At 42.7% G+C, this 25,040-nt stretch overlaps 1 protein-coding gene across 19 annotated transcripts in view, besides 1 other annotated feature; it reads right to left on the reverse strand.

The window, feature by feature from the left end:
* DMC1 (DNA meiotic recombinase 1) overlaps positions 1-24,743 on the reverse strand; it is a 61,037-nt gene extending 36,294 nt beyond the window's left edge. For 2 of the 19 annotated variants that reach the window (XM_011529835.3, XM_047441078.1), the window contains exons 1-8: positions 24,664-24,743; positions 22,766-22,849; positions 22,143-22,187; positions 21,150-21,296; positions 16,847-16,929; positions 9,917-9,969; positions 7,226-7,267; positions 4,485-4,557 (exon numbers count right to left, since the gene is read on the reverse strand). In XM_011529835.3, coding sequence (XP_011528137.1) covers positions 4,485-4,557; positions 7,226-7,267; positions 9,917-9,969; positions 16,847-16,929; positions 21,150-21,296; positions 22,143-22,187; positions 22,766-22,816 — 494 coding nt within the window. In that variant the 5' untranslated portion in view covers positions 22,817-22,849; positions 24,664-24,743. Of the gene's footprint in view, positions 1-4,484; positions 4,558-7,225; positions 7,268-9,916; positions 9,970-16,846; positions 16,930-21,149; positions 21,297-22,142; positions 22,188-22,765; positions 22,970-23,634; positions 23,951-24,602 lie in introns of those variants that run through there. The other 17 variants (XM_011529834.3, NM_007068.4, XM_047441079.1 and 14 more) reach the window with 13 other exon arrangements.
* Positions 24,739-25,028: a silencer, noted in NCBI's record as "silent region_13723". NCBI's record gives its function as "represses an Ori minimal core promoter by ATAC-STARR-seq in GM12878 lymphoblastoid cells {active_cell/tissue: GM12878}" and the evidence as "EXISTENCE:reporter gene assay evidence [ECO:0000049][PMID:35858748]".

The raw sequence follows: 25,040 nt of genomic DNA on the forward strand, positions 1-25,040 counted from the left end.
GAGATGGAGTCTCGCTCTGTCGCCCAGGCCGGACTGCAGTGGCGCTATCTCGGCTCACTGCAAGCTCCGCCTCGCGGGTTCACACCATCTCCTGCCTCAGCCTCCCGAGTAGCTGGGACTACAGGTGCCCACCACTGCGCCTGGCTAATTTTTTGTATTTTTAGTAGAGACAGGGTTTCACCGTGTTAGCCAGGTTGGTCTCGATTTCCTGACCTCGTGATCCGCCCGCGTCGGCCTCCCAAAGTGCTAGGATTACAGGTGTGAGCCACAGCGGCCAGCCAAAACAATTTAAAATGAAAAAACTTGGGCTTATGCTGAAGGGAAGTTCAGATCAATTATAAATATTTATTAACCAATTACCATATGGAATTAATTACCATATTAATCAATTACCAAGGCAAAGCATTATGGAGGATATAAGGAGTCCTAAGACAACCTATGCCCTAGGTAAATTTAAAACATAATTAAGGAGGCAAAATATAAACATATAAAAAGAAAACTATCAAGAGACAGCAGTATAAGTATGAGACACGGAAAGAATGAGAACACTCCAATGTGGCCCTTGCCACAGTGCCCTGCACCCCCACCCAGCTGTTCTTCTCCACTCTCTCTTGCATATGACTTAGCTCCTAAGTATTCCTATTGTTCTTAGTAAAATCCAAATTGCAGGCCGGGCATCGTGGCTCACGCCTGTAATCCCAGCACTTTGGGAGGCCAAGGTGGGTGGATCACCTGAGGTCGGGAGTTCGAGACCAGCCCGACCAACATGGAGAAACCCTGTCTCTACTAAAAATACAAAATTAGCCGGGTGTGGTGGCATGCACCTGTAATCGCAGCTACTCGGGAGGCTGAGGAGGAGAATCGCTTGAACCTGGGAGATGGAGGTTGTAGTGAGCCGAGATCGCACCATTGCACTCCAGCCTGGGCAACAAGAGTGAAACTCCATCTCGAAAAAAAAAAACTCCAAATTGCCCAAACAGTGGCTGCTACTCTGCAAGAACAATTCTTCCCTCTCTGAGATAAGAATCATCCTTAATCAATTGTTTCTGAAACCAGCTGAACTCCAGCTGAGCACCCTTGTTAAAGCCCTGTACGACATTTCACCCTCCTTCCCCAAGTTAAAAGGCTCTTTCAGAGACTTCTTATGCCTGGCATTTCTGAAAAGGGACTTCTGCAAACAGTTCTCTGTTTTGTTTTCTAAGTGAGTATTTTAGATAGTAAATTCTATAATAGGTCAAGAAGGACAAGATTTTCTAAATTGAGTAATTAGGGAAGATTAGAAAAAGCAGGCCTTGAAATGAGAGCCTTAAATGATTTGTATGATTCAGAAAGACTGTGAGATGGGGATGGAAGGAGCAAATACCCAAGAAGATAGAAATATACCATGCAAAGTTCTCTGTGACCAGACAAATTAACAGCCAAGAGTGAGAGCAAAATAAAGGCACTTTCAGACATACTAAGGTTCAAAGTTTACCACCTGTATTACATTTCTGAAAGAAATAAGTATTACAGCAAAACAAAAATACAGGAAAAAATAACATCTGGGATGCAAGAAACCATAATGAACAAAGAAAACAAAAATCTTTATAGTTAAATCTAAATAACTGCTGATGTACAATGTTTTTAGATTTTTTTTCTTTTGGTAGAGACAGAGTCTTGCTATGTTGCCCAGGCTAATCATGAACTCCTGGCCTCAAATAAGCCTCCTGCCTCAGCCTTCCAAGTAGCTGGGATTTATAGCAACCACACCTGGCTAATTTAAAATTTATTTCGTAGAGACACTATGTTGCCCAGGCTGGTCTTGAACTCCTGGCCTCAAGTGATCTTCCTGCCTTGGCCTCCCAAAGTGCTGGGATCACTGGAGTGAGACTAGACATATGTGCAAATTTTGATAACAAAGTATGTTTACAGGCAATGGGATGGACTAAAACAGATTCATCTCTTTGCCTCTAATAGTGGCAATGGTGAGTACTGAGCTTGGAGAGGCAGGCTGGGGCTTCACTGTGAACAGCCTTACAAATGTGCATAGGTCTTCTTTGTTATTAAAAAGAATTTCCTCTGAATACCTCCTCAAACTAGTATATTTTTTCTTCCTATTTGTTTTTGTTTTTTTTTTTGAGACGGAGTTTCCCTCTTGTTGCCCAGGCTGGAGTGCAATGGCACGATCTCGGCTCACCGCAACCTCCGCCTCCCAGTTCAAGCGATTCTCCTGCCTAAGCCTCCTGAGTAGCTGGAAATACAGGCATGTGCCGCCACGCCCGGCTAATTTTGTATTTTTAGTAGAGACAGGGTTTCTCCATGTTGGTCAGGCTGGTCTCGAACTCCTGACCTCAGGTAATCCACCCGCCTCAGCCTCCCAAAGTGCTGGGATTACAGGCGTGAGCCACGGTGCCTAGCCTTCTTCCTTTCATTGGTCAATTTCATACTGCCTCCCTCCCTTGTTGTTTGTTTACATAAAGCTTCTATCACCTCACCCTATGGCAAATGTTCGCTTGAACTCCTAATTTTGAACTTATAATGATCTTTCTCAGGCTGTATCCTCAAAATCCGTGTGTGTGTAACATTGCTGACAACTCATCGTCTTGAAACTTTCCTTTTGCTTGACTTTTACAACCAGATTTCCTTCTACTTCCTCTGTCTCTGGGTTTCTCATTTTAGTCCTCTTCCTAAATATAAACATACCTCAAAGTTATGTTCTCAATTCTCCTCTCTTCTCTCTCTATAAGTTCTCTTTCCCCCTTGGTTAATTCGTCCATATTTCTGGGCCTACCCCTTTCTCAAGCTGAATTCAATATTTCCCAGTGCCATCTGGATATCCTCATGTACATCATATTCAATACATTAAAATGATGGCTGGGTGCAATGGCTCATGCCTGTAATCCCAGTCCTTTGGGAGGCCAAGGCAGGCAGATCGCTTGAGCCCAGGAGTTGGAGATCAGCCTGGGCAACGTGGTGAAACCTGGTCTCTACAAAAGATAAAAAAAATTAGCCAGGCGTGGTGGTATGTGCCTGTAGTTCCAGCTACTCAGAAGGCTGAAGTGGGAGGATCACTTGACCCTGGGAGTTCGAGTCTGCAGTGAGTGTAATTGGGCCACTGCACTCCAGCCTGGGCAACAGAGCAAGAACCTGTCTCAAAAGAAGAAAAAAATTAGGCCAGGCGTGATGGCTCACGCCTATAATTCCAACACTTTGGGAGGCTGAGGTGGGTGGATCACTTGAGGTCAGGAGTTCAAAACCAGCCTGGCCAACATGGCGAAACCCCATCTGTATTAAAAATACAAAAATTAGCCAGGTGTGGTGGTGTACATTTGTAAACTTAGCTACTTGGGAAGCTGAGGTTGCAGTGAGTTGAGACTGCACCACTGCATTCCAGCCTGGGTGATGGAGAAAGACACTGTCTCAAAAAAAAAAAAGTAAAATTAGTACATTAAAATGAAACATCACCTTTTCTCTTTTTCTCTGAAGCATGATCTTTCCAGTTCTATTGTTAGCATCACATAACTATTCTCCTAGTATCTAGACAAAAAACCTGAGCGGTTTCTCAAACCTGTCTTTCCTTTGTCTACCAAATATAGCCATCAAGTCCTATCAATTTTCCTAATACTTCTTTTCCTTTTCTTTTTATTCTTACCAGTTCCAACCTAGATCAAGTTCTCATTACTTGCCTAGAATATTGCTAAAGTATCCAGTTTACACCCACTATCTTGTTTCAAAGCCTTTCATGTCTAAGATCCCAATCATCTTTCTAGCCCATATCCTGGAATACCTTACACTTTAATTAAACTGCAATTCGTTGTGTTACCCAAACAGGTTCTGCCTGTTTTCCTTATTAACTTTCACCCTCTTCATACCGTTCCCTTCATTTGGGACCATGACTTTCAGTGAGTCAATAATCTTTCAGCCAGGCGCAGTCGCTCACCCCTGTAATCCTAGCACTGTGGGAGGCTGAGGCAGGTGGATCACCTGAGGTCAGGAGTTCCAGAACAGCCTGGTCAACATGTCAAAACCCTGTCTCTACTAAAAATACAAAAAAATTAGCCAGGTGTGGTGGCACACACCTGTAATCCCAGCTACTCGGTAGGCTGAGGCAGGAGAATTGATTGAACCCAAGAGATGGAGGTTGCAGTGAGCCGAGATTGCCCCACTGGACTCCAGCCTGGGCAACAGGGAGATTCCGTCTCAAAAAAAAAAAAATCTTTTTTCTAACTATTAAGCAACATCTTTAGAGAAGTAAGAGGATTAAAAATGATGATATAATTTCCTCTCATGTATTTGTTTTGTCTCATAAACCCATATGAAGAAGTGAAACCTCATTAAATACAAAGTGATTGGAGAACTTAAACAGTAATTGTTTTCCCTTTGGTTTGTCTCATTACTACTGGTTTATGGAATGACTACAAAGATTGTATATCTCAGACAAACTCTTCAGTGGTAACATTCCTATATCACACTATTATGTTAGCAACTTTAAATAAAAAGGTTACAAAGTATTTTCTGTATCAATGAAGATAATCTTTCCTCCTGGGTAGCCACCAGCTCCTGGAAGTTGAGCTGTCACTAGGAAGCAATTAAAAATTTATATTAATAGGAGTGAATAAACTTTGTACACATGACTATATAAATACACATGGAATCTGCTGTTGCAACTCTTTAGTACATTTTGCAAAGAGTCATGATCCTTTCGTTTCTAAACAACATGTTATATTTTCATATTACTTAACCAGTGTGAAATTATAAGTATTCTGCCAGCATAGTTGTTATTCAACAAATAATTTCACTATCTTTCACAATGGAAGATATTCGTGAAAGTTAGTTCTCCCAAAGAATGGAAATAAAATTTAAATATTACTAATTTTCTTTCTTTTTCTTTTCTTTTCTTTTTTTTTTTTTTTTGAGACGAGTCTAGCTCTGTCGTCAGGTTGGAGTGCAGTGGCGCAATCTCAGCTCACTGCAATCTCCGCCTCCCGGGTTCAAGCAATTCTTCTGCCTCAGCCTCCCAAGTAGCTGGGACTACAGGCAGGCACTGCCACACCCAGCTAATTTTTATACTTTTAGTAGAGATGGGGTTTCACCATGTTGGCCAGGATGGTCTTGATCTCCTGACCTCGTGATCTGCCCACCTCGGCCTCCCAAAGTGCTGGGATTACAGGCTTGAGCCACCGCGCCCAACCTACTAACTTTCTTTCTACAAGAAATAGTCACAAATATGGCCGGGCATGGTGGCTCATGCCTGTAATCCCAGCACTTTGGGAGGCCAAGGTGGGTGGATCATTTGAGGTCAAGGGTTCAAGACCAGCATGACCAACATGGTAAAACCCTGTCTCTACTAAAAATACAAAAATTAGCTGGGTGTGGTGGTGCATGCCTGTAATCCCAGCTACTCTGGAGGCTGAGGCAGGAGAATTGCTTGAACCTGGGAGGCGGAGGTTGCAGTGAGCTGAGATCGTGCCACTGCAGTCCAGCCTGGGTGATAGATCAAGACTCCATCTCAAAAAAAAAAAAAAAAAAAGAAAGAAAGAAAGAAAGAAAGAAAAAAGAAAAAAAAGAAAGAAATAGTCACAAATAGGCCGAGTGGGCGGATCATGAGGTCAGGAGTTTGAGACCAGCCTCATCAACATGGTGAAACCCCATCTCTACTGAAAATACAAAAAACAAAAATTAGCCGGGCATGGTCGTGAGTGCCTGTAATCCCAGCTACTCAGGAGACTGAGGCAGGAGAATCGCTTGAACCTGGGAGGCGGAGGTTGCAGTGAGCTGAGATCGCGCCACTGCACTCTAACCTGGGTGACACAGCGAGACTCCGTCTCAAAAAAAAAAAGTCACAAATATAATTTATGCTATATAACTAATATGTTACCTTTAAATTAATGTATGTCAAATTTTAAAAATGCATTTACTTTTTTTTTCGAGACAGGTCTCACTTTGTCGCCCAGGCTGGAGTACAGTGGCACGATCTCGGCCCACGGCAACCTCTGCCTCCCGGGTTCAAGTGATTCTCTGACCTCAGCCTCCCCAGTAGCTGGGATTACAGGCATGTTCAACCAGGCCCAGCTAACTTTTGTATTTTTTAGTAGAGACAGGGTTTCACCATGTTTACCAGGCTGGTCTCAAACTCCTGACTTCAGGAGATCCTCCTGCCTTGGCCTCCCAAAGTGCTGGGATTACAGGTGTGAGCCACCACGCTAGACTGCAATTACTTTTTATGTAGTAGTAGTTAACACTAAGGAGCTACTTTATACCAGGTACATACATTATTTCATTTACTTTTCAAAACAATCCTAACATTTGGCACTGTCATTATTTCAATTTTATTGGTGGGGGAAATTAGAGAAGTAGAGCAACTTGCCCAAGGTCACACAGCTACTAACGATAGAACCAGGATTGAAGTCCGGCATTTTGATTCCAGAACTCCTTTCTTTTTTTTTTTTTTTTTTTTTTTGAGACGAGTCTTGCTCTGTTGCCCAGGCTGGAGTGCAGTGGCGCGATATCGGCTCACTGCAAGCTCCGCCTCCCGGGTTCACGCCATTCTCCTGCCTCAGCCTCCCCAGCAGCTGGGACTACAGGCGCCCGCCACCATGCCCGGCTAATTTTTTTGTATTTTTAGTAGAGACCGGGTTTCACCGTGTTAGCCAGGATGGTCTGGATCTCCTGACCTTGTGATCCGCCCGCCTCGGCCTCCCAAAGTGCTGGGATTACAGGCGTGAGCCACCGGGCCCGGCCAGAACTCCTTTCTTAACCACTTTGCCAAGTTCCTTCTCCATAGCTCAAAGAAATGCACAGTAGTGTATTTGTGGAAAAGGAGATATCTTTCGTTATTTTGTTTAAAACAATTTTGTTTTTAAGTCTCTCTTAGGGCCAATTTTATGCCATGGAAAGTGAAAGATTCTAGGACTCAATAGATTTTGTGTCACTCTTCTAAAAAAGATATAGAAAAGATGGAATGGGAAAAACTGAGACAGTGGACTCCTCACCAACACATTCATACACCCATTCAACTTCTCTCTATTTCTACTCAGGTGTTCATAGTGCAGCACATACATCACCTCAAGGATCACACATTCAAAGACCAGCTGTATAACCACGGGCAGTTTACTTAATCTGCCTGTGTTTTAGTTTCCTTGCAAGTATGTTCAGATATGAGATTATTTAGAGTATCAGGCACATAGTAGATGTTTGATAAGTAATAGCCATGATTATTATTGTTATTGTTGTTATATATCCTTACCACAGAGGGTATGAGAAAGCTGGGTTTTTCCAGTACGAAATTCTGTGAAATACAGAAAAAAATGATTTTAAAAATGCATAATTTCCAGATATTTTCATAAAGAATAAAACATGGCTTTAGAATATTACTGTTTTCTTTTTCTTTTCCAACTGGCAAATCTTACTTATAAAGTATCTCGGATGTTATTTTTTATTTTTTTTTTGAGACAGAGTCTTGCTCTCACTCAGGCTGGAGTGCAGTGGCACGATCTCAGCTCACTGCAACCTTCACCTCCCGGGTTCAAGCGATTCTCCTGACTCAGCCTCCTGAGTAGCTGGGATTACAGGTGCCTGCCACCACGCCCGGCTAGTTTTTGTATTTTAAGTAGAGATGGGGTTTCACCATATTGGCCAGGCTGGTCTCAAACTCCTGAACTCAGGTGATCCGCCCACCTCAGCCTCCCAAAGTGCTGGGATTACAGGTGTGAGCCACCACGCCCGGCCTTATTTGTTTAATATAAATTAATTTAAATCAAGTTTTCCTTAGTAACAGTCATATAAATGAAAGTTTAAGGCCGGGCGCGGTGGCTTATGCCTGTAATCCCAGCACTTTGGGAGGCTGAGGCGGGTGGATCACAAGGTCAGGGGATTGAGACCATCCTGGCTAACACTGTGTAACCCCATCTCTACTAAAAATACAAAAAATTAGCTGGGTGTGGTGGTGGGCGCCTGTAGTCCCAGCTACTCGGGAGGCTGAGGCAGCAGAATGGTGTGAACTCGGGAGGCGGAGCTTGCAGTGAGCCGAGATCGCGCCACTGCACTCCAGCCTGGGTGACAGAGCGAGACTCCGTCTCAAAAAAAAAAAAAAAAAAAGAAAGTTTAAGACCCTACCACCTGGGGTAAAGTGCGGTGACTCACACCTGTAATCCCAGCACTTTGGGAGGATGAGATGAATGGATCACTTGAGGTCAGGAGTTCGAGACCAGCCTGGCAAACATGGTGAAACCCCATCTCTACCAAAAATACAACAATTAGCTGGGCATGGTGGCTCATGCCTGTAATCCTAGCACTTTGGGAGGCCGAGGCGGGCAGGCTGCATGAGCTCAGGAGTTCGAGACCAGCCTGGGCAACATGGTGAAATGCCATCTCTACTAAAAAATAAAAAATTAGCTGGGTGTGGTGGCGTGCACCTATAGTCCCAGCTACTTGGGAGGCTGAGGCAGAATTGCTTGAACCTGGGAGGCAGAAGTTGCAGTGAGCCAAGATCAGGCCACTGCACTCCAGCCTGGGCAACAGAGCGAGACTCCATCTCCAAAAAAAAAAAAAAAAAAAAAAAAAATCAGCCAGGCGTGGTGGCAGTTGCCTGTAATCCCAGCTACACAGGAAGCTGAGGCAGAATTGCTTGAACCTAGGAGGCAGAGGTTGCAGTGAGCCGAGATGGCACCACTGCACTGCAGCCTGGGAGACAGAGCAAGACTCCATCTCTAAATAAATAAATAAATAAATGAAAATAAAATAAAGACCCCACCACAGGAAAGAAAGCCTGGGGTTCCCCTACTGAACTGAGGTCCTTAAAGGGGAGCTGAAGTAGTCTTAAACTGGTGCCATCCCCTAGCTACCAGCAAAAGCAAATTCGTTCTGGAGGAAAACTTTCCTACCTACCAATCCAGGTCCATTGAACTTTCATAGATTAAAATCAAACAATAAGCTCAGAAACACCAATAAATACAGAAGAAGGTAAGCCACTAAGACTGAGTCAACAGAAATAATGAAAACCAGATTTAGTGCCCAAGTCAACAGAAAAAAAAAAAAAAAAAACAGATTTAGTTCTCCAAGGACAGCAAATACTGGAATTCCCAGATGTGATACACAGTGTAGCTATGCATGAATTGCTTTTTAAAAATAGAGGATAGGACGGGTGCAGTGGCTCATGCCTGTAATCCCAATACTTTGGGAGGTCAAAGTGGGAGGATTGCTTGAGTCCAGGAGTTCGAGACCATCTTGGGCAACATAGCGAGACCCTTTATCTATTATTTAAAAAAAAAAATAGAGGATATAATCAGGGAAGAGGGAATCTAGTCTCTATGTTCATGGAACATTAATTGCCTAGAAATAAAATCAGCCTCATTATTCAATTACCTTTTGAACAAATAAGTGAAAAAAAATCTATTATCAGCTGGGCGCAGTGGCTCACGCCTGTAATCCCAGCACTTTGGAAGGCCGAGGTCAGGAGATCAAGACCATCCTGGCTAACATGGTGAAACCCCGTCTCCACTAAAAATACAAAAAAATTAGCTGGGAGTGGTGGCAGGCGCCTGTAGTCCCAGCTACTCGGGAGGCTGAGGCAGGAGAATGGCGTGAACCCGGGAGGCAGAGCTTGCAGGAAGCCGAGATTGCGCCACTGCACTCCAGCCTGGACCTGGGTGACACAGCGAGACTCCGTCTCAAAAAAAAAAAAAAAAATCTATTATCTTCTATAGGAATCACAAATAAAAGATGAAAAGTGTTGATAAGACCCATCTGTTAATGTTCATATATATTTTCGTTGCAGTACAGAATGATCTCATGTTATGATAATTGAGATTTTGTAAGTTCCAAAATACTTACAATTTATTATTGGTTGTTTATTTAATTATATGTGTATGTATACACATAGATGTGTATGTGTGTGTGTATAATATTTCATTTAACAAAATATTAAGGTTCTACCTACCTCCAAAAGCTTCTGTAATTGCCATACTTTCAATTCCACCTCCTAGTAACTTACTGGAAATAGAAAGAAAGCATTAGTAACAGGAATAGAAATAGAAATATTAAGAGAGGAGAAAGTATTCATATCATTAGTATCCTTCCTATCTATGTATCTATCTATCTATTCTATCATCTACCTATCTATCTACAGAACATGAACAGCAATTCTTGGCTGAACAAATAGCATGCCACTTGCTAGATCACAGGTTCTATTGTGTATGGGCAAGTGGATCAGCAAAACAAATGATAAGCCCTATCGTTCTTACTTCAATAGTAAATGGAACCTGGGAATACTGCATGCTGTAGGCTTAAAAAATAATAATAATAAATTATTTTAAGAAAAAACTTAAAAAAATAGTAAATGGGTTAGCAAGGCCTTATGTCTTACTAGTCTTTAGAATTGAATTGGAGTTACAGATCGTCTTAATTATTATTATTATTATTTTTTTTTTTTCGAGATGGAGTCTTGCTCTGTCGCCCAGGCTGGAATGCAGTGGCGTGATCTTGGCTCACTGCAGCCTCCGCCTACCAGGTTCAAGAGATTCTCCTGCCTCAGCCTCACGAGTAGCTGGGATTACAGGTGCCTGCCACCACGCCAGGCTAATTTTTGTATTTTTAGTAGAAATGGGGTTTCACCATATTGGCCAGGTTGGTCTCGAACTCCTGACCTCAGGTGATCCGCCTGCCTTGGCTTCCCAAAGTGCTGGGATTACAGGCATAAGCCACCATGCCCAGCCCATCTTAGTTATTAATTGGGTATTTAATATTGTGCTGGAACTATGTTTCTATAGTCAATTGAATTTTCAATGTTTTTTCTTTTTCTTTTTTGAGACAGAATCTTGTTCTGTCACCTGACACAGGGCTAATTTTTTATTTTTTGTATGGCTGGGGTCTTGCTATGTTGCCCAGGCTGGTCTCAAACTCCTGAGGCTCAAGAGATCTGCCCACCTTGGCCTTCCAAAGTGCTGGGATTATAGACATGAGCCATCATGCCCGGCTTCAGTTTTTAATATACTGAAAAACATATGAAAAACAGGTATTAGGAAAATCCAGTGATTGTCATTATGGTCAGGTTATCTCACATAAACCAAATATTATGGAGGACATGTCAGAATAGTAAATGTCAAAGATGTTGTAGGTAATGCTAGCAGTTAGAAGAGTAACTGTCAGATTCTGACAGCATACATTTAATTGGTAGCCCAATGTTGTAGTGCATTTAAAGCTCTGAATAAGAAAAGGCCTAAATTTAAGTCATGATCTCATTCATTCATTAAATGCAACACATATTAATTGTGTTAATTGTGCTAAGACCTGGTAGGGGCACTTTAAAAACCTTGTATGTAGTCTATTAACATGATTTTTTGGGATGTGATCACAGGTCAGACAAAAATTTAAGATATATAGATAATCCAATACATTTACATTTACATAGTTTAAGAGAGCAATTTAAATGTAAATTGAAACAATGTTGGAAGTTATCCACAAATTTAGTGAGGGCTGCAGACTTCAATAAGGAAAAGAAAAATCTAGATAGTGTACCTGCACAACTTAAATCTAAAGGACATGGGCTAAGCGATCAACCCATTTGGAGGGAATACACTTGGAAATCTTATAGGCCCAGCAACTATTTTTTTCTTCAACTTTTATTTTAAATTCAGGGGTACATGTGCCAGATATGCAGGTTTGTTACATAGGTAAACGTGTGCCATGGTGGTTGGGCTAGCAACTATTAAAGAAAGCTTTATTTGTCCCTCTTCTTCCTGAGAAAAATTACCCTGGAAAGCTATACCTCTGGAAAATCCCAGACAAAATTCCTGGTTGATATGTAATCTCAATCAGCTGAAAAGGTAACCCCAAAATTTACCTGTGAGGATACCCCAAATTATTTGGGATAGCACAATTGTTTCCTTTTTGAGACTCAGGAAAATTTAGAATTAAGTGTAGAAATAGTGTTTTTAAATATAGGGAGATTTAAAAATAGAGACACAAATCAAACCCATAGATTACTATTTTCATATTAAATTTGGCAATATGGGCATGGTGGCTCATGTCTGTAATCTTAGCACTTTGGGAGGCCGAGGGAGGTGGATCGCTCGAGCCTGGGAGTTCAAGACCAGCCTGGATAACATGGCGAAACCCAGTCTCTACAGAAAATACCAAAATTAGCCAGGTATGCTGGCCTGTGCCTGCAGTCCCATCTACTCAGGCTGCAGTGAGCCGTGATGGAGCCACTGCATTTTAGCCTGGGTGACAGAGTGAGACCGTGTCTCAAAAAATAAAATAGAATATAAATAAATAAATTTGGTAATAACCTGTGCATATTTGCTATTTGAGACCTTTTAACGTTTAAGATAATTTGACCTTTTTGTAATGGATTGGCCTCTGACTGATTAAATGGTACATTCCTTCAATTTTCAAGTTGATAACTAATTTTATAAATAGTATTTGAACATTTAATGGTGCCTACAACTCACTATACTTCTAAATTTATTTGAGTTACAAAAGATATTTAGGTAATTGGGAAGATTTTGCTGTTAATAATTAGATAATTAGACAAAGTTCTTTTTTTTTTTTTTTTTTTTTTTTGAGACGGAGTCTCACTCTGTCGCCCAGGCTGGAATGCAGTGGCGTGATCTTGGCTCACTGCAACCTCTGCCTCCTGGATTCAAGCAATTCTCTGCATCAGCCTCCTGAGTAGCTGGGATTACAGGCACCCGCCACCATGCCCGGCTAATTTTTGTATTTTTAGTAGAGACAGGGTGATCCTGTCTTTAGTAGAGACCTTGTGATCCACCCGCCTCAGCCTCCCAAAGTGTTGGGATTACAGGTGTGAGCCAGTGCACCTGGCCAACAAATAAAGTTCTTAAAGAAAATACAATACACTAAATGTATAAACATAATTAAAATGTTTAAGAGAATTTAATCTTGTTATAAAAGCACCCTTAAAATGTGCTAGATTTATAAAGGGACTTAAAGCTTAAGGAAAAATGTATAATATTTTAATTAATTAAATATTAATTTTTAAAAACCTAGCTCCTGGCTGGGCGCAGTGGCTCACATCTGTAATCCCAGTACTTTGGGAGGCCGAGGCAAGTGGATCATCTGAGGTCAGGAGTTCGAGGCCAGCCTGGCCAACATGGTGAAACTCTGTCTCTACTAAAAATACAAAAATTAGCCCGGTGTGGTGGCACACACCTGTAGTCCCAGCTACTCAGGAGGCTGAGGCAGGAGAATTGCTTGAACCCAGGAGGCGGAGGTTGCAGTGAGCCGAGATCATGCCACTGCACTCCAGCCTGGGCGACACAGCAAGACTCTGTCTCAAAAGCAAACAAACAACAAAAAAAAACCTAGCTCCTGAATGATCTTTTCTGTTCTCAAGAGCAAACATCAAGGGCACCAGAAAACTCACAATAACAGTAATTATTTCTTTAGCCCAGTGGTTCTTAGACCACCATGTGGTAGAGTAACTAAAGAAAATCAGATTGTCATTTGAATCAAGTGTTTTGTTGATCAACCTCATTTTGACCAATTTGCCTAGGGGTAGGATTTCTCCAAGCCTCTTCCTTAACTTTACTTGAAAAAAGGGTATGTGATTTTAAAAGTCTGGGACAATGCTGGGTTAAACAGGTATTTTCTTTTTCTTTTTTTCTTTTGAGACTGAGTCTCACTCTATTGCCCAGGCTGGAGTGCAGTGGCACGATCTCGGCTCACCACAACCTCCATCTCCCAGGTTCAAGCGATTCTCCTGCCTCAGCCTCCCGAGTAGCTGTGACCACAGGCACATGCCACCATGCCCGGCTAATTTTTTGTATTTTTAGTAGAGACGGGGTTTCTCCATGTTGGTTAGGCTGGTCTCGAACTCCTGATCTCAAGTGATCCACCCGCCTCGGCCTCCCAAAACGCTGGGATTAAAGGTGTGAGCCACCGTGCCCAGCCATTTTTTTGGTAATTTTTAGTAGAGACAGGGTTTCACCATGTTGGCCAGGCTGGTCTAGAACTCCTGACCTAAGGTGATCCACCCATCTTGGCCTCCCGAAGTGCTGTGATTACAGGTGTGGGCCACCGTGCCCTGCCAAAACAGGTGTTTTGTGTCACTGCAGGATTTCACAGGCTAGTGTGCGCTGTGACTCTTCAAGAAGAATATATAGTATATGGTACTTCTCAAACTTATTCACTATTTGTTTATTCATTCATTTAGTCATTCAACAAATATTTATTGCACACCTAGTTTATGCCAGGGATTGTTTTGTGCACTTGGGATAAACTAGAGAACAAAAGAGACAGAATTTTTTTCTCTCACGAAGTTTACAATCTAGTGAGAGATTAGATAATAAACACAAATAGGCCAGGCGCCGGTAGCTCACACCTGTAATCCCAGCACTTTGGGAGGCTGAAGCGGTGGATCATGGGATCAGGAGTTCAAGACCAGCCTGGCCAAGATGCTGAAACCCTGTCTCTACTAAAAGTACAAAAATTAGCCGGGCGTGGTGGCGGGCACCTGTAATCCCAGCTACTCGGGAGGCTGAGGCAGGTGAATCGCTTGAACCTGGGCAGCAGAGGTTGCAGTGAGCTGAGATCATGCCACTGCACTCCAGCCTGGGTGACAGAGCAAGACTCCGTCTGAAAAAAAAAATAAATAAATAAAATAAAAAATAAACACAAATAAGTAAAATATGTAGTACATCAGATGTTATTAAATGGTATGGATAAAAATAAGGCCAGGAAAGGGGACAAGGAAGACAGAGTATGAAAGTTAGGAGGTTATACTGTCAAATAAAGTGATCAGAGAAGTTCTCATTGAGACATGGACATTTTTGCCAAGACCTGAAAGAGATGACAGCAAGCCATGTAGATCTAAGAGGAAAGAATATGATAGGCAGAGGCAGCACAAAGTGCAAAGGCCCTGATGCAGGAGTGTATCTGACATATTCTGGGAATAGCAAAGAGGTCACTATGGCTGGTACATAGAAAACTAGAAAAGTGAAATATTAGAGATGGGAGAGGACTTTGGCTTCTTTTCTGAGTGAGAGGGGGAATCATCAGGGTGTTATGAGCCACTGCATTCCAGCCTAACCTATGTTTTAAAGTGACCATTCTGGCTCTTTAGTGAATTAAAAAAAAAAACAAAACAGTAGGGGCAAGGTCTCAAGGAGGGAGGTTAATTAGAGGTTATTATAATAATCCAGGGGAGATATTAATAGGTGGTAGTTTAGTCCAGTGAGGTAACAGTAGAGGTGGTAAGAAATAGTTGAATTATATTCTCACTCTCTATGTACACACACACATATACACATAAAAATAACATATATTATATATTAATCTTTTATTATAGAAAATATCAAGCATAAACAAATGTAGAAAAAAAATAATGAACCATCGTGTCTATCACTCAGCTTCAACAATCGTCAACTATGAACTCAGGGTAAATCTTTTTTCATATAGACCACTAACCATTTACCTCCCTTCCCATATTATTTTAAGCATATACTAAGCAACATATCATTTCATTATAAATATTTCAGTATGTATCCCTAAAAGATGAAGATGAAGACTCTCATCTTTAACAACCATATTCCCACTATCACACTTAAATTTAGTAATTCCTTAATTTTTTTTTTTCAGACAAGGTTTCTCTCTGCGTCACCCAGGCTAGAGTGCAGTGGCATGATCGCGGCTCACTAGAGCCTCAACCTCAACCTCCTGGGCTCTAGCAATCCTTCTATCTCACTCAGACTGCTGAGTAGCTAGAACTACAGGTGTGCACCATCACACCCAGCTAATTAATTTTTTTTTTTTTTTGTAGAGACAAGGTCTCAGTTTGCCGTTAGGATGATCTCAAGAGATCCCCTCCCCACCTCCAGCCTTGGCCTCCCAAGGTGCTGGGATTACAGGTGTCACCCACTGCACCCGGCCAGGTGATATGTCTTTTAAATCTCTTTAATCTATAGGTCTTCTCCCTGACTCCATCTCTTTTTTCCTCCTTGTAATTTATTTGTTGAGGAAACTGGGAGGTTTGTTCTGACTAAATATATTTTGAAATTAGAACAGACAGGATTTATTAATGGGTTAGAGTTAGGGTGTGTGAGAGAAAAAAGATGTCAAGGATAACACCCAGGTTTTAGGTCAGAGGATCAGGAAAGAGATAGATCTAAGATGAGGGAGACTTTGGGAGAAGCAGATTTGGGGCAAAGGTCAGAAGTTTGATTTTTGGACCTGTGAAGTCTGAGCTATCAATTAGACGTTCAAGTGGAGGTATATTTGACTATGAAATCCTTTTTTTCTTAATGTATCTTGTGAGGCCAGCATTTTGAGAAATACTTAGAGGAAATACTGCTTTTGTTCTAAATGCTCTTGGGCACTGCTGTAACACATGAAACACTAATTCTTTCTAGTAAGGTAGGGAGAAAAAACCCACATTTTAGTAAACTTGCATTGAGAAGATGATGATATGTCTTGGGGATCATAAAAGAGTAAATAAAAAGGGATGTTAAAACTTCTCCTGCAGAAGAGCAAAAATAACTGCAATATTTCTGAAATATTTAATCTAACAATTGCTTTTTGAGTAAACCCAAAATGTGCAATGAAACATCCTTCATATGGAGAAGGAAAGTAAATGAAAAGTTAAACTGATTTTTAAAAGTGGTTTGAGATTAATATTGGCTGATTCAGAAACTAGATTTTGGGTCTGAATTTCTTGTAAGACATTTAATCTTGCTCCTCCAAGCAGTCTAGAATTTGTTTCAGTTATCATTTAGAAAAAAAAACAAACAAACCCAAACTTCAAATGAAGAAGCTACTTCTACTACTTATAGTAGAAGTAACCAGAAAGAGGAAAAGAAACATGGTATTCCAAAGATTATGCTTAGTGATTATAAAAAAGTAAGATACATACTCAAATTCCTGGCTCCCGGTGGTGATATGGAAAACCATTTTCCTCTTTTCACTATACTCAAATGCAGTCAAGAATCCTGGTTCCTACAGAAAGATAAAAGGAAATGTTCAAAAAGAGTTTAAAGATCATGGTTGTATTTTCAAATGTTGCCCAAAATGATATACTCAGTTATTAAGATCATCATTTGGTATAAGCTACAGTTCACTTGTCCTTGAAGGCAGTACAAGATTATGGTTAGGAACACAGGCTTTAGAGCTGCCCTTTCTAGGTTCAAATCATGTCTCTAATAGTTATTAGTTCTATGATATGGAGTAAACTACTTAATCTTGCTATACATCAGCTTCCTCTTTTGGGTCAAACATGCAACAGTGTTTCTTCAAGGAGTAGCTGTGAAAATTAAATTATATATATATACACACACACACATATGTATACACACATATACATGTACACATATATACACACGTTATATACACATATATACATATATGTGTATACATATACATATATACACATATACATATACATATATACACACATATATACATATACACATATATATACACATATTCCTGGATTCAAGTGATTCTCCTGCCTCAGCCTCCCAAGTAGCTGGGATTACAGGCACTTGCCACCATGCCCGGCTAATTTTTTGTATTTTTAGTAGAGATGGGATTTCACAATGTTGGCCAGGATGGTCTCAAACTCCTGACCTCAGGTGATCCACCTGCCTTGGCCTCCCAAAGTGCTGGGATTACAGGCGTGAGCCACCGTGCCCAGCCAAATGAGATATAATTATGGCATAAAGCAGAGGGTATTTTACTAACAATTCACTTTTTTTCATTCAACAGCATCATTTTTTTTCCAGCTGTAGAAGTTTCAAGGGGCACAGAAATTCCAGTTTTCATTATTCTTGAGACAACATTTTTCACATGGTAGATATACTACTTATTGACTGATTAAAAAGGTACAGCTGATGCAGTGGAGGACTAGTGAAAATGGGCCCCAATGTAGTCTAATGGGTGTCCCTCTTTGTTGTTTTATACTATGACTGTGGTTCTTAAACTTTGGAGAACTTGGAGAATGGGGACAGCCAAGCCCAGGTCCTATCCTACTTGAGTGAGCCAAGTCTGGGCTTCTGTTTTCTTTATTAGCCACACCAGGTGATTCTGATACACATCAGTGTTTAGAACCACCGTATTATGAAATTAACTTCCTTTCTTTCTCTCCTCTCTCTCTGTCTCTCTCTCTCTCTCAATCACTTTCTCTATCTCTAAGAATAAACAACTGGGTGCAGTAGCTCACACCTGTAATCCCAGCACTTTGAGAGGCTGAGGCGGGAGGACTGCTTGATGCCAGCAGTTCAAGACCAGCCTGGCCAATATAGTAAGACCACCCCTCCCCCATCTCCACAAATTTTTTTTTTTTTTTGAGATGGAGTCTCGCTCTGTCGCCCAGGCTGGAGTGCAGTGGCGCGATCTCAGCTCACTGCAAGCTCCACCTCCTGGGTTCACGCCATTCTCCTGACTCAGCCTCCCGAGTAGCTGGGACTACAGGCGCCTGCCACCACACCCGGCTAATATTTTTGTATTTTTAGTAGAGACAGGGTTTCACTGTGTTAGCCAGGATGGTCTCGATCTCCTGACCTCATGATCCGCCTGCCTCGGCCTCCCAAAGTGCTGGGATTACAGGCGTGAGCCACCAGGCCCGGCCTCCACAAAAATTTTTAAAAATTAGCTGGACATGGTAGCATATGCCTGTAGTCCTAGCTACTGAGGAGGCTGAGGTGGGAGGATCGCTTGAGCCTGGGAGGTCAAGGCCACAGTGAACTGTGATTGAGCCACTGTACTCCAGCCAGGGTGATAGAGTGAGACCTTGTCTCAAAAATAAATGAATAAATAAAACTGGGCACAGTGGCATATTCCTGTAGTCCCATGTACTTCAGAAGCAGAGGCAGGAGGATCACTTGAACCCAGGAGTTCAAGCCCAGACTGGGCAACATAGTGAGATACCCTTCTCTCTCTCTCTTTTTTTTTCTTTTGAGACAGAGTCTCGCTGTGTCACCCAGGCTGGAGCGTAGTGGCGTGATCTTGCCTCACTGCAACCTCTGCCTCTCAGTTTCAAGTGATTCTCCTGTCTCAGCCTCCCAAGTAGCTGGGACTACAGGCACCTGCCACCATGCCTGGCTAATTTTTGTATTTTTAGTAGAGACAGGGTTTCACTATGTTGGCCACTATGTTGGTCTTGAACTCCTGACCTCATGATCCGCCCGCCTCAGCCTCCCAAAGTGCTGGGATTACAGGCGTAAGCCACTGCACCTGGCCTGATACCCGTCTCTTAAAAAATACAAATAAAAAAGAATAAACAGTTTAAGCTAAGAAAGGAGAAGATTCTTGGTGCAGTAGTGGGTGCTTGAGAAAGAGAGAGGTTCTTTTCTTTGGTAATAAGATTTAATTTCCAAAGAAAACAACTCTAATGTCATAGAGCAGTTTCCCAAACCCTGAGTACTGCTCCAGGGCTTTCTTCAACACCCTGGCAGTTGTGGAATTGACTTGTGGGTACACTGCCTGAGTGTACTCAGAAGCTAGAGCAACTGAGCTGGGTTCAGAGTGATTCAGTTCGGTTGAGTCCCCTCCAAGTTCAGGATCACACTGCCACTTGCATCACTCTCCTGCCTTGGCTGCCTCTGAAGAAGGAAACCAAATGGCCGTTGGTGAAGAGAGCTTCTCAGACTCACTGGGAATGAGACCCTCACATACCAATAGAGAAATGGAGAGGCCTGCTATTAAATGAAGAGGAAGACTTAGTGACTACCTTTCTTTGCTTTCCTATTTCAAGAGCTGGTACCTCTAGTGATTCCCAAAAGCTCTACATAAAAGCTTGGGTCAAAGGTATATAGGCTTTTGTCTGGCAGCCTGGCAGTTGCAAAGGCCCCTCACAGTCAGTGGGCCCTGCTAGAAAGTAGTAAGGTAGGAGAGGGGATTTGACTCCAGAGGTGGGGCTCAGACACCAGACCAAATTGAGAACTAGCTAAAACAGGGTCCAGGGCAGAAGCAACTTTCCATAAGACATGGCCCACCAATGTGCCATGTCAGTTTACCATTGCTATGGCAACACCTGGAAGTTACTGCCCCTTTCCATTGCAATGACCCAATGACCCAGAAATTACCACTTTTTCTAGAAATTTATGCATAAACTGCCCCTTAATTTGCACGTAATTAAAAGTGGGTATAACTATAATGGCAAAACTGCCTCTGAGCTGCTACTTCTGGGCATACTGCCTATGAGGTAGCCCTGCTCTGCAAGGAGCAGTACCTCTGCTGCACTGTACTGGGCTGCTTCAACAAAAGTTGCTGTCCAACACCACTGGCTCACCTTTGGGCAAAGCCAAGAACCCTCCCAGGTTAAGCCTCAATTTGGGGGCTCACCTGCCCTGCATCAGTATGGGTTAGCTTAGCTCAGCTGCTTCAGTGAGCACATGCTTGGTCATATCTATCTCAACTGCACATATGTAGACCCAACCACTGTTGGTCTTTTTCTAATCCAGTGCTCTCTTATCAATTGGCTATATCAATTGGCTATATATCAATCTCCTATACCAGGAGAGAGCAACTTCTTTGGTACTCAGTGCTTCACAACAGCCATAGGTATGATATTTGAGGAGACAAGACAAAACTGAGGAGGAGAAAGGTAAAAAATAAAAATGAAGGCCGAGCATGGTGGCTCATGCCTGTAATCCCAGCACTTTGGGAGGCCAGGGCAGGCAGATCACGAGGTCAGGAAATTGAGACCATCTTGGCCAACATGGTGAAACCTCGTCTCTACTAAAAATACAAAATTAGCTGGGCGTGGTGCTGTGTGCCTGTAGTCCCAGCTACTCAGGAGGCTGAGGCAGGAGACTCGCTTGAACCCCGGAGGTGGAGGTTGCAGTGAGCTGAGATCACGCCACTGCACTCTGGCCTGGCGACAGAGCAAGACTCTGTCTCAGAAAAAAAAAAAAAAAAGGAAAGGAGAAGGAAAGGCAGAGACAGCCAGAAAAAGTAATATAAAGAGAGACAAAAAGTTTTGGCAAAAATAATTACCTTCATTAGTGTTCCAGGTCTCTTAATCCCTACCTTCATCTTTCAGAAATCAATTGCTGTTGCTTTGAAACTGAAGTGATAAAAAGTTAACATGGGGAGTATAATATACTGTGATCTACAGGAACTCAGTTCCCACAATAATTTCTAGTTTTCATGAGAAAGCCTATAAAGATTCACAAGGCCCTGCCAAGCTAAAACAGCAAAGAATGGATTTTGCTTACAATTAGTTTGTTCGCTGCCTCTTTAATCTTGTCTACTTTGGCTTCTGAGAGTCCTTTGACATTGCATAGAGCTCTTCTTGTTGTCATCTGTATACCTTTGATGGTACAGATTCCTACTGATTTCAGTTTCTTAATGTCAGCCACGTTCTGTAAATTAAAGAATGGGCACAGCAGACTGATAAGATGCCAGCCTGCAAGGCTCCCATACTATGTCATGTGTTTCTGTGTCCATCTCCTTCCACCATGATGCCAATTTTATACAAGCTGCCAGGTGGAACCCACCCACCATGTAGCCAAATGTTCTGGAAATATCTGAGTAGAACATACTCAGCAGGCTGCCAAATGTTCTGACTGTGCCCTGATTTCCCAAGAATGTTAGTGAGACCATGGCAATGTAACAAGGAATTCAAAAGAAAAGCCTGTTGGTGGAAAAGCTAACAAATTTATCACACATTCACCCCCTCAGTTCAGCTCCTTCCTTCTACAGAACTTCATTACCAACATGTTCTTTTAAATTTGTAAAGATTTTTTTTTTCCTCTGCCCCTGGAGAATGCAAATAACTACATCACCAAAGGACCAGGATTTTCTCTTGCTTCTATTTTCTAAAACCACTGAAAGAGATTAAATGTTAGGGCTACAACAGATAATGTCAGCACAGTTTTACTATCAACTGATTGCTGTTGAAATCCACCCAGGTCATTATTCAAAGGCTGGATTTCTGCCAACATCATTTATTCCAGTCGCCTGACATATAGAACTTAATTTTGTCCTCTGGATACACTTGACAATGTCTGGAGACATTTTGATTGTCACAGCTGCAGGGGTGCTACTGACATGCAGTGAGTGAGTAGAGGCCAAGGATGTTGCAAACACCCTACAATGCACAGGACGTCCCCTTGCAACAAAGAATTATCCAGGCCCAAATGTCCATAAGGTTGATGCTGAGAAATCCTGAATCAGACAATTTAACACAGCATTGAAAAACTACTTACAATTCCATGTTTCTGTAACAGGTCAATATCTTGAAACAAAGATTCCTAAAGGAGATGAAACAGAAAAAATGAAGTTTTGATTCTTCATATCCAGCTATTTCACATCTTTTAAAGAGGTAATTCAATACTATGAGTCACTCCAAAATGCCTCAAATTCCGCTTCTCTAGAGATTGAGGAAGGATCAATACCGTTTTTCAAACACAGAAGAAGCACCAACATTGAAAGGGCTGGGAAGCCAGTTACCTTTGTCATGTCCTCCCTAAAATTTTAAAACCTTTACCCAAAGGACTGGAACAACATTTGAACTATTTTAAATATGTTTTCTCAACCCTCTTCCCCTCCAGATCCTAAACTCCTTCCTCTAGGACCAGGCTGCTATTCGGTACCCGTGTGTGTAGGTACCAGTATGGCCATACCAGCTGTTAAGTCATTAAAATACTTTCATACCAGTTGCTAAGTAGCTAATCTTAGCATCCTTGCCAAACAAGTTGTTACATATTTGCAATATATAACTATGTGTTATTTCTACTTTCAGCTTCTAAAAATAGTAGCTAACAGGGAAGGAACTTGATTTTTGCGGAATGATCGAATGTCTATATATCTTTCAACATTTTAGTCATACCTCTTCATCTTGGAATCCTGGTTCTTCCGCCACAACTTGATCCTCCTTCATATTGAAAAGTGGGCAACAGAAAAATAATCACTTCTGGGAAAATAAGAAATATTATGTAAGAAGTAGTCCTTTGTCCAGGGGCCTCTGATTTCATTTCAAAGTCAACAAGGACTAGAAGGACAGTAAGAGAAGCATTTAGCTTGGAAAGATGAGGCCAGCCTATCTTCTTTCTGCGAGACATGTGACATTATTTCTTGTGTGTGTGTGTGTGTGTGTGCATGTGTGTGTGTGTCCCCACATGCACACAGATGCCTGAGGGGCAAATTGGGGGGTGCTTATTTAGTTTCTTCTCTTTCCCCAACAGTGATCACTTATCATCTGGTTTCCATTGCACAGCTAATCATGACTTTATTACTGCCTTGAATGTTATTTAGAATTGCATATTGCTTTTAACCTTTCTTGTTTATGTTTAACAACAATACTCTAGGAACCTTGACATTATATCATTCTTCCTTGTGTCCTCCCTGACACCTCCAACTTTGTCCTCAATAAATGGATTCTATTTTTCTCATCTATGATGAATGCCTTCCTGCCTGCTGATTATGAATGGGTACTCCTGTAACATCCACCTTTTTGTTTCATAGAACATTAGCTATACTTTCTTTCACAGTATTTACTAGTTTCATGATTTTTTTAAGATTTAAAAATATGGTGGTCCGGGTGTGGAGGCTCATGCCTGTAATCCCAGCACTTTGGGAGGCCGAGACAGGCAGATCACGAGGTCAGGAGTTCGAGACCAGCCTGGCCAATCCCCGTCTCTACTAAAAATACAAAAAAATTAGCCGGGCGTGGTGGTGGGCGCCCGTAATCCCACCTACTTGGGAGGCTGAGGCAGGAGAATCGCTTGAACCTGGGAGGCGGAGGTTGCACTGAGCCGAGATCATGCCACTGCACTCCAGCCTGGGCGACAGTGCGAGACTCAGTCTCAAAAAAAAAAAAAAAAATTGGTGGATCATAATATTATATTAAGGCTGATAAGCAGTTAAAGTTTTTAACATTGTAGACTCAAAAAGAAATCTCAGGAATCCACAAGGCGTGATTGTGTTTATTTATTACAATAAAATGCGGTCCAAATCATCATTTTTCTTGGTCGATTCCATTTCCTCATTTGATACCAAAGTCAGGGGTTGGACCCTAGAACAAAGGGAACGAACCATTAATACTAAGGCAGGAGCAGGGTCCTACCACCCAGCACCTCAAACGGCAAAGGATGGAAGGCAACCGAGACCGTTCGGATGGGATCTTCGGGGACACTGTCCTTCAGATGGCTAGCTATGAGTACCCCAATTCCACATTTACTGTCCCCATCGAAGAGAAAAACAGCATTCATTTCTTCTCCCCGTGATGAAATGAAAAGATTGTCCCCCATCTCTCAAGGAGCCGTTGATAGACTGAACCGTTGGATTGAAAGTAGGGCTCCCCAATCCCCCGGTTTAAGACGACCCAGCTGTCCCCTCTGGTGGGGGCAGCAGCGCGGTCGGGTCGCCCTCGACGCCTCCCTCAGCAGGAGGCCTGGGCAGACCCCCTGCGGCCGCCGGACATTTTCCTGACACCGGATTCCCTGGTCAGGAGGATGAGGCGGGCTCTCCTAGACTCAGGTCCGATTCGATTGAAAATGAGGTTGGAAATCCCTCAAGATCACTAAAATTCCTCCCCAAAGGTCGGAGCGGAACGCTCAAAGTCACTAGCCCAGGGACCCCAAAAAAGGAGCGAGAAAGGGAAGCGCGCCTTCTCAAAACGAGCGTCCCCTCAGAGTCTTCGCACGCTGTTCGTTTTTGCCACTTACCCCCCTCGTACCCACAGTCTCCCCGAGATTTTCAAGGTGAAGCCCCTCTGCCCCGCCCGACCTCCTCAGCTGACAGGATTCTAACTCGGGCCTAGAACACGGAGCCTGGAGACCCGCGCGCCGTTGACCACAGGGTTTGGCGCCAAACGAGGAGGGCGGGGCGAGGACCAAGGGGCCGGGGCGGGGCGCAGGGTGAGGGTGGAAGGGCGGGGAGGGAGCAGGCCTACAGAGGGCGACGAGGGGCGGGGAGCAATGGGGGCGGGGCGAAGACCGAAGGGCGGGGAACGAGCGGGCTCACAGGTGGGGGGACCAGAGGGCGTGGCCTGGAGGGGGCTCAGGGCGAGGGGGCGGGGCGAGGGCTGAGGCGCGGAAAACGAAGAGGAGCCCCAGCGGGTGGCGAGCTGGGATGACGGAGGGAGGGAGGGAGGGGCGCTGTGG

Source organism: Homo sapiens, chromosome 22 (assembly GCF_000001405.40).
Source record: "Homo sapiens chromosome 22, GRCh38.p14 Primary Assembly".
Classification (NCBI taxonomy): Eukaryota; Metazoa; Chordata; class Mammalia; order Primates; family Hominidae; genus Homo; species Homo sapiens.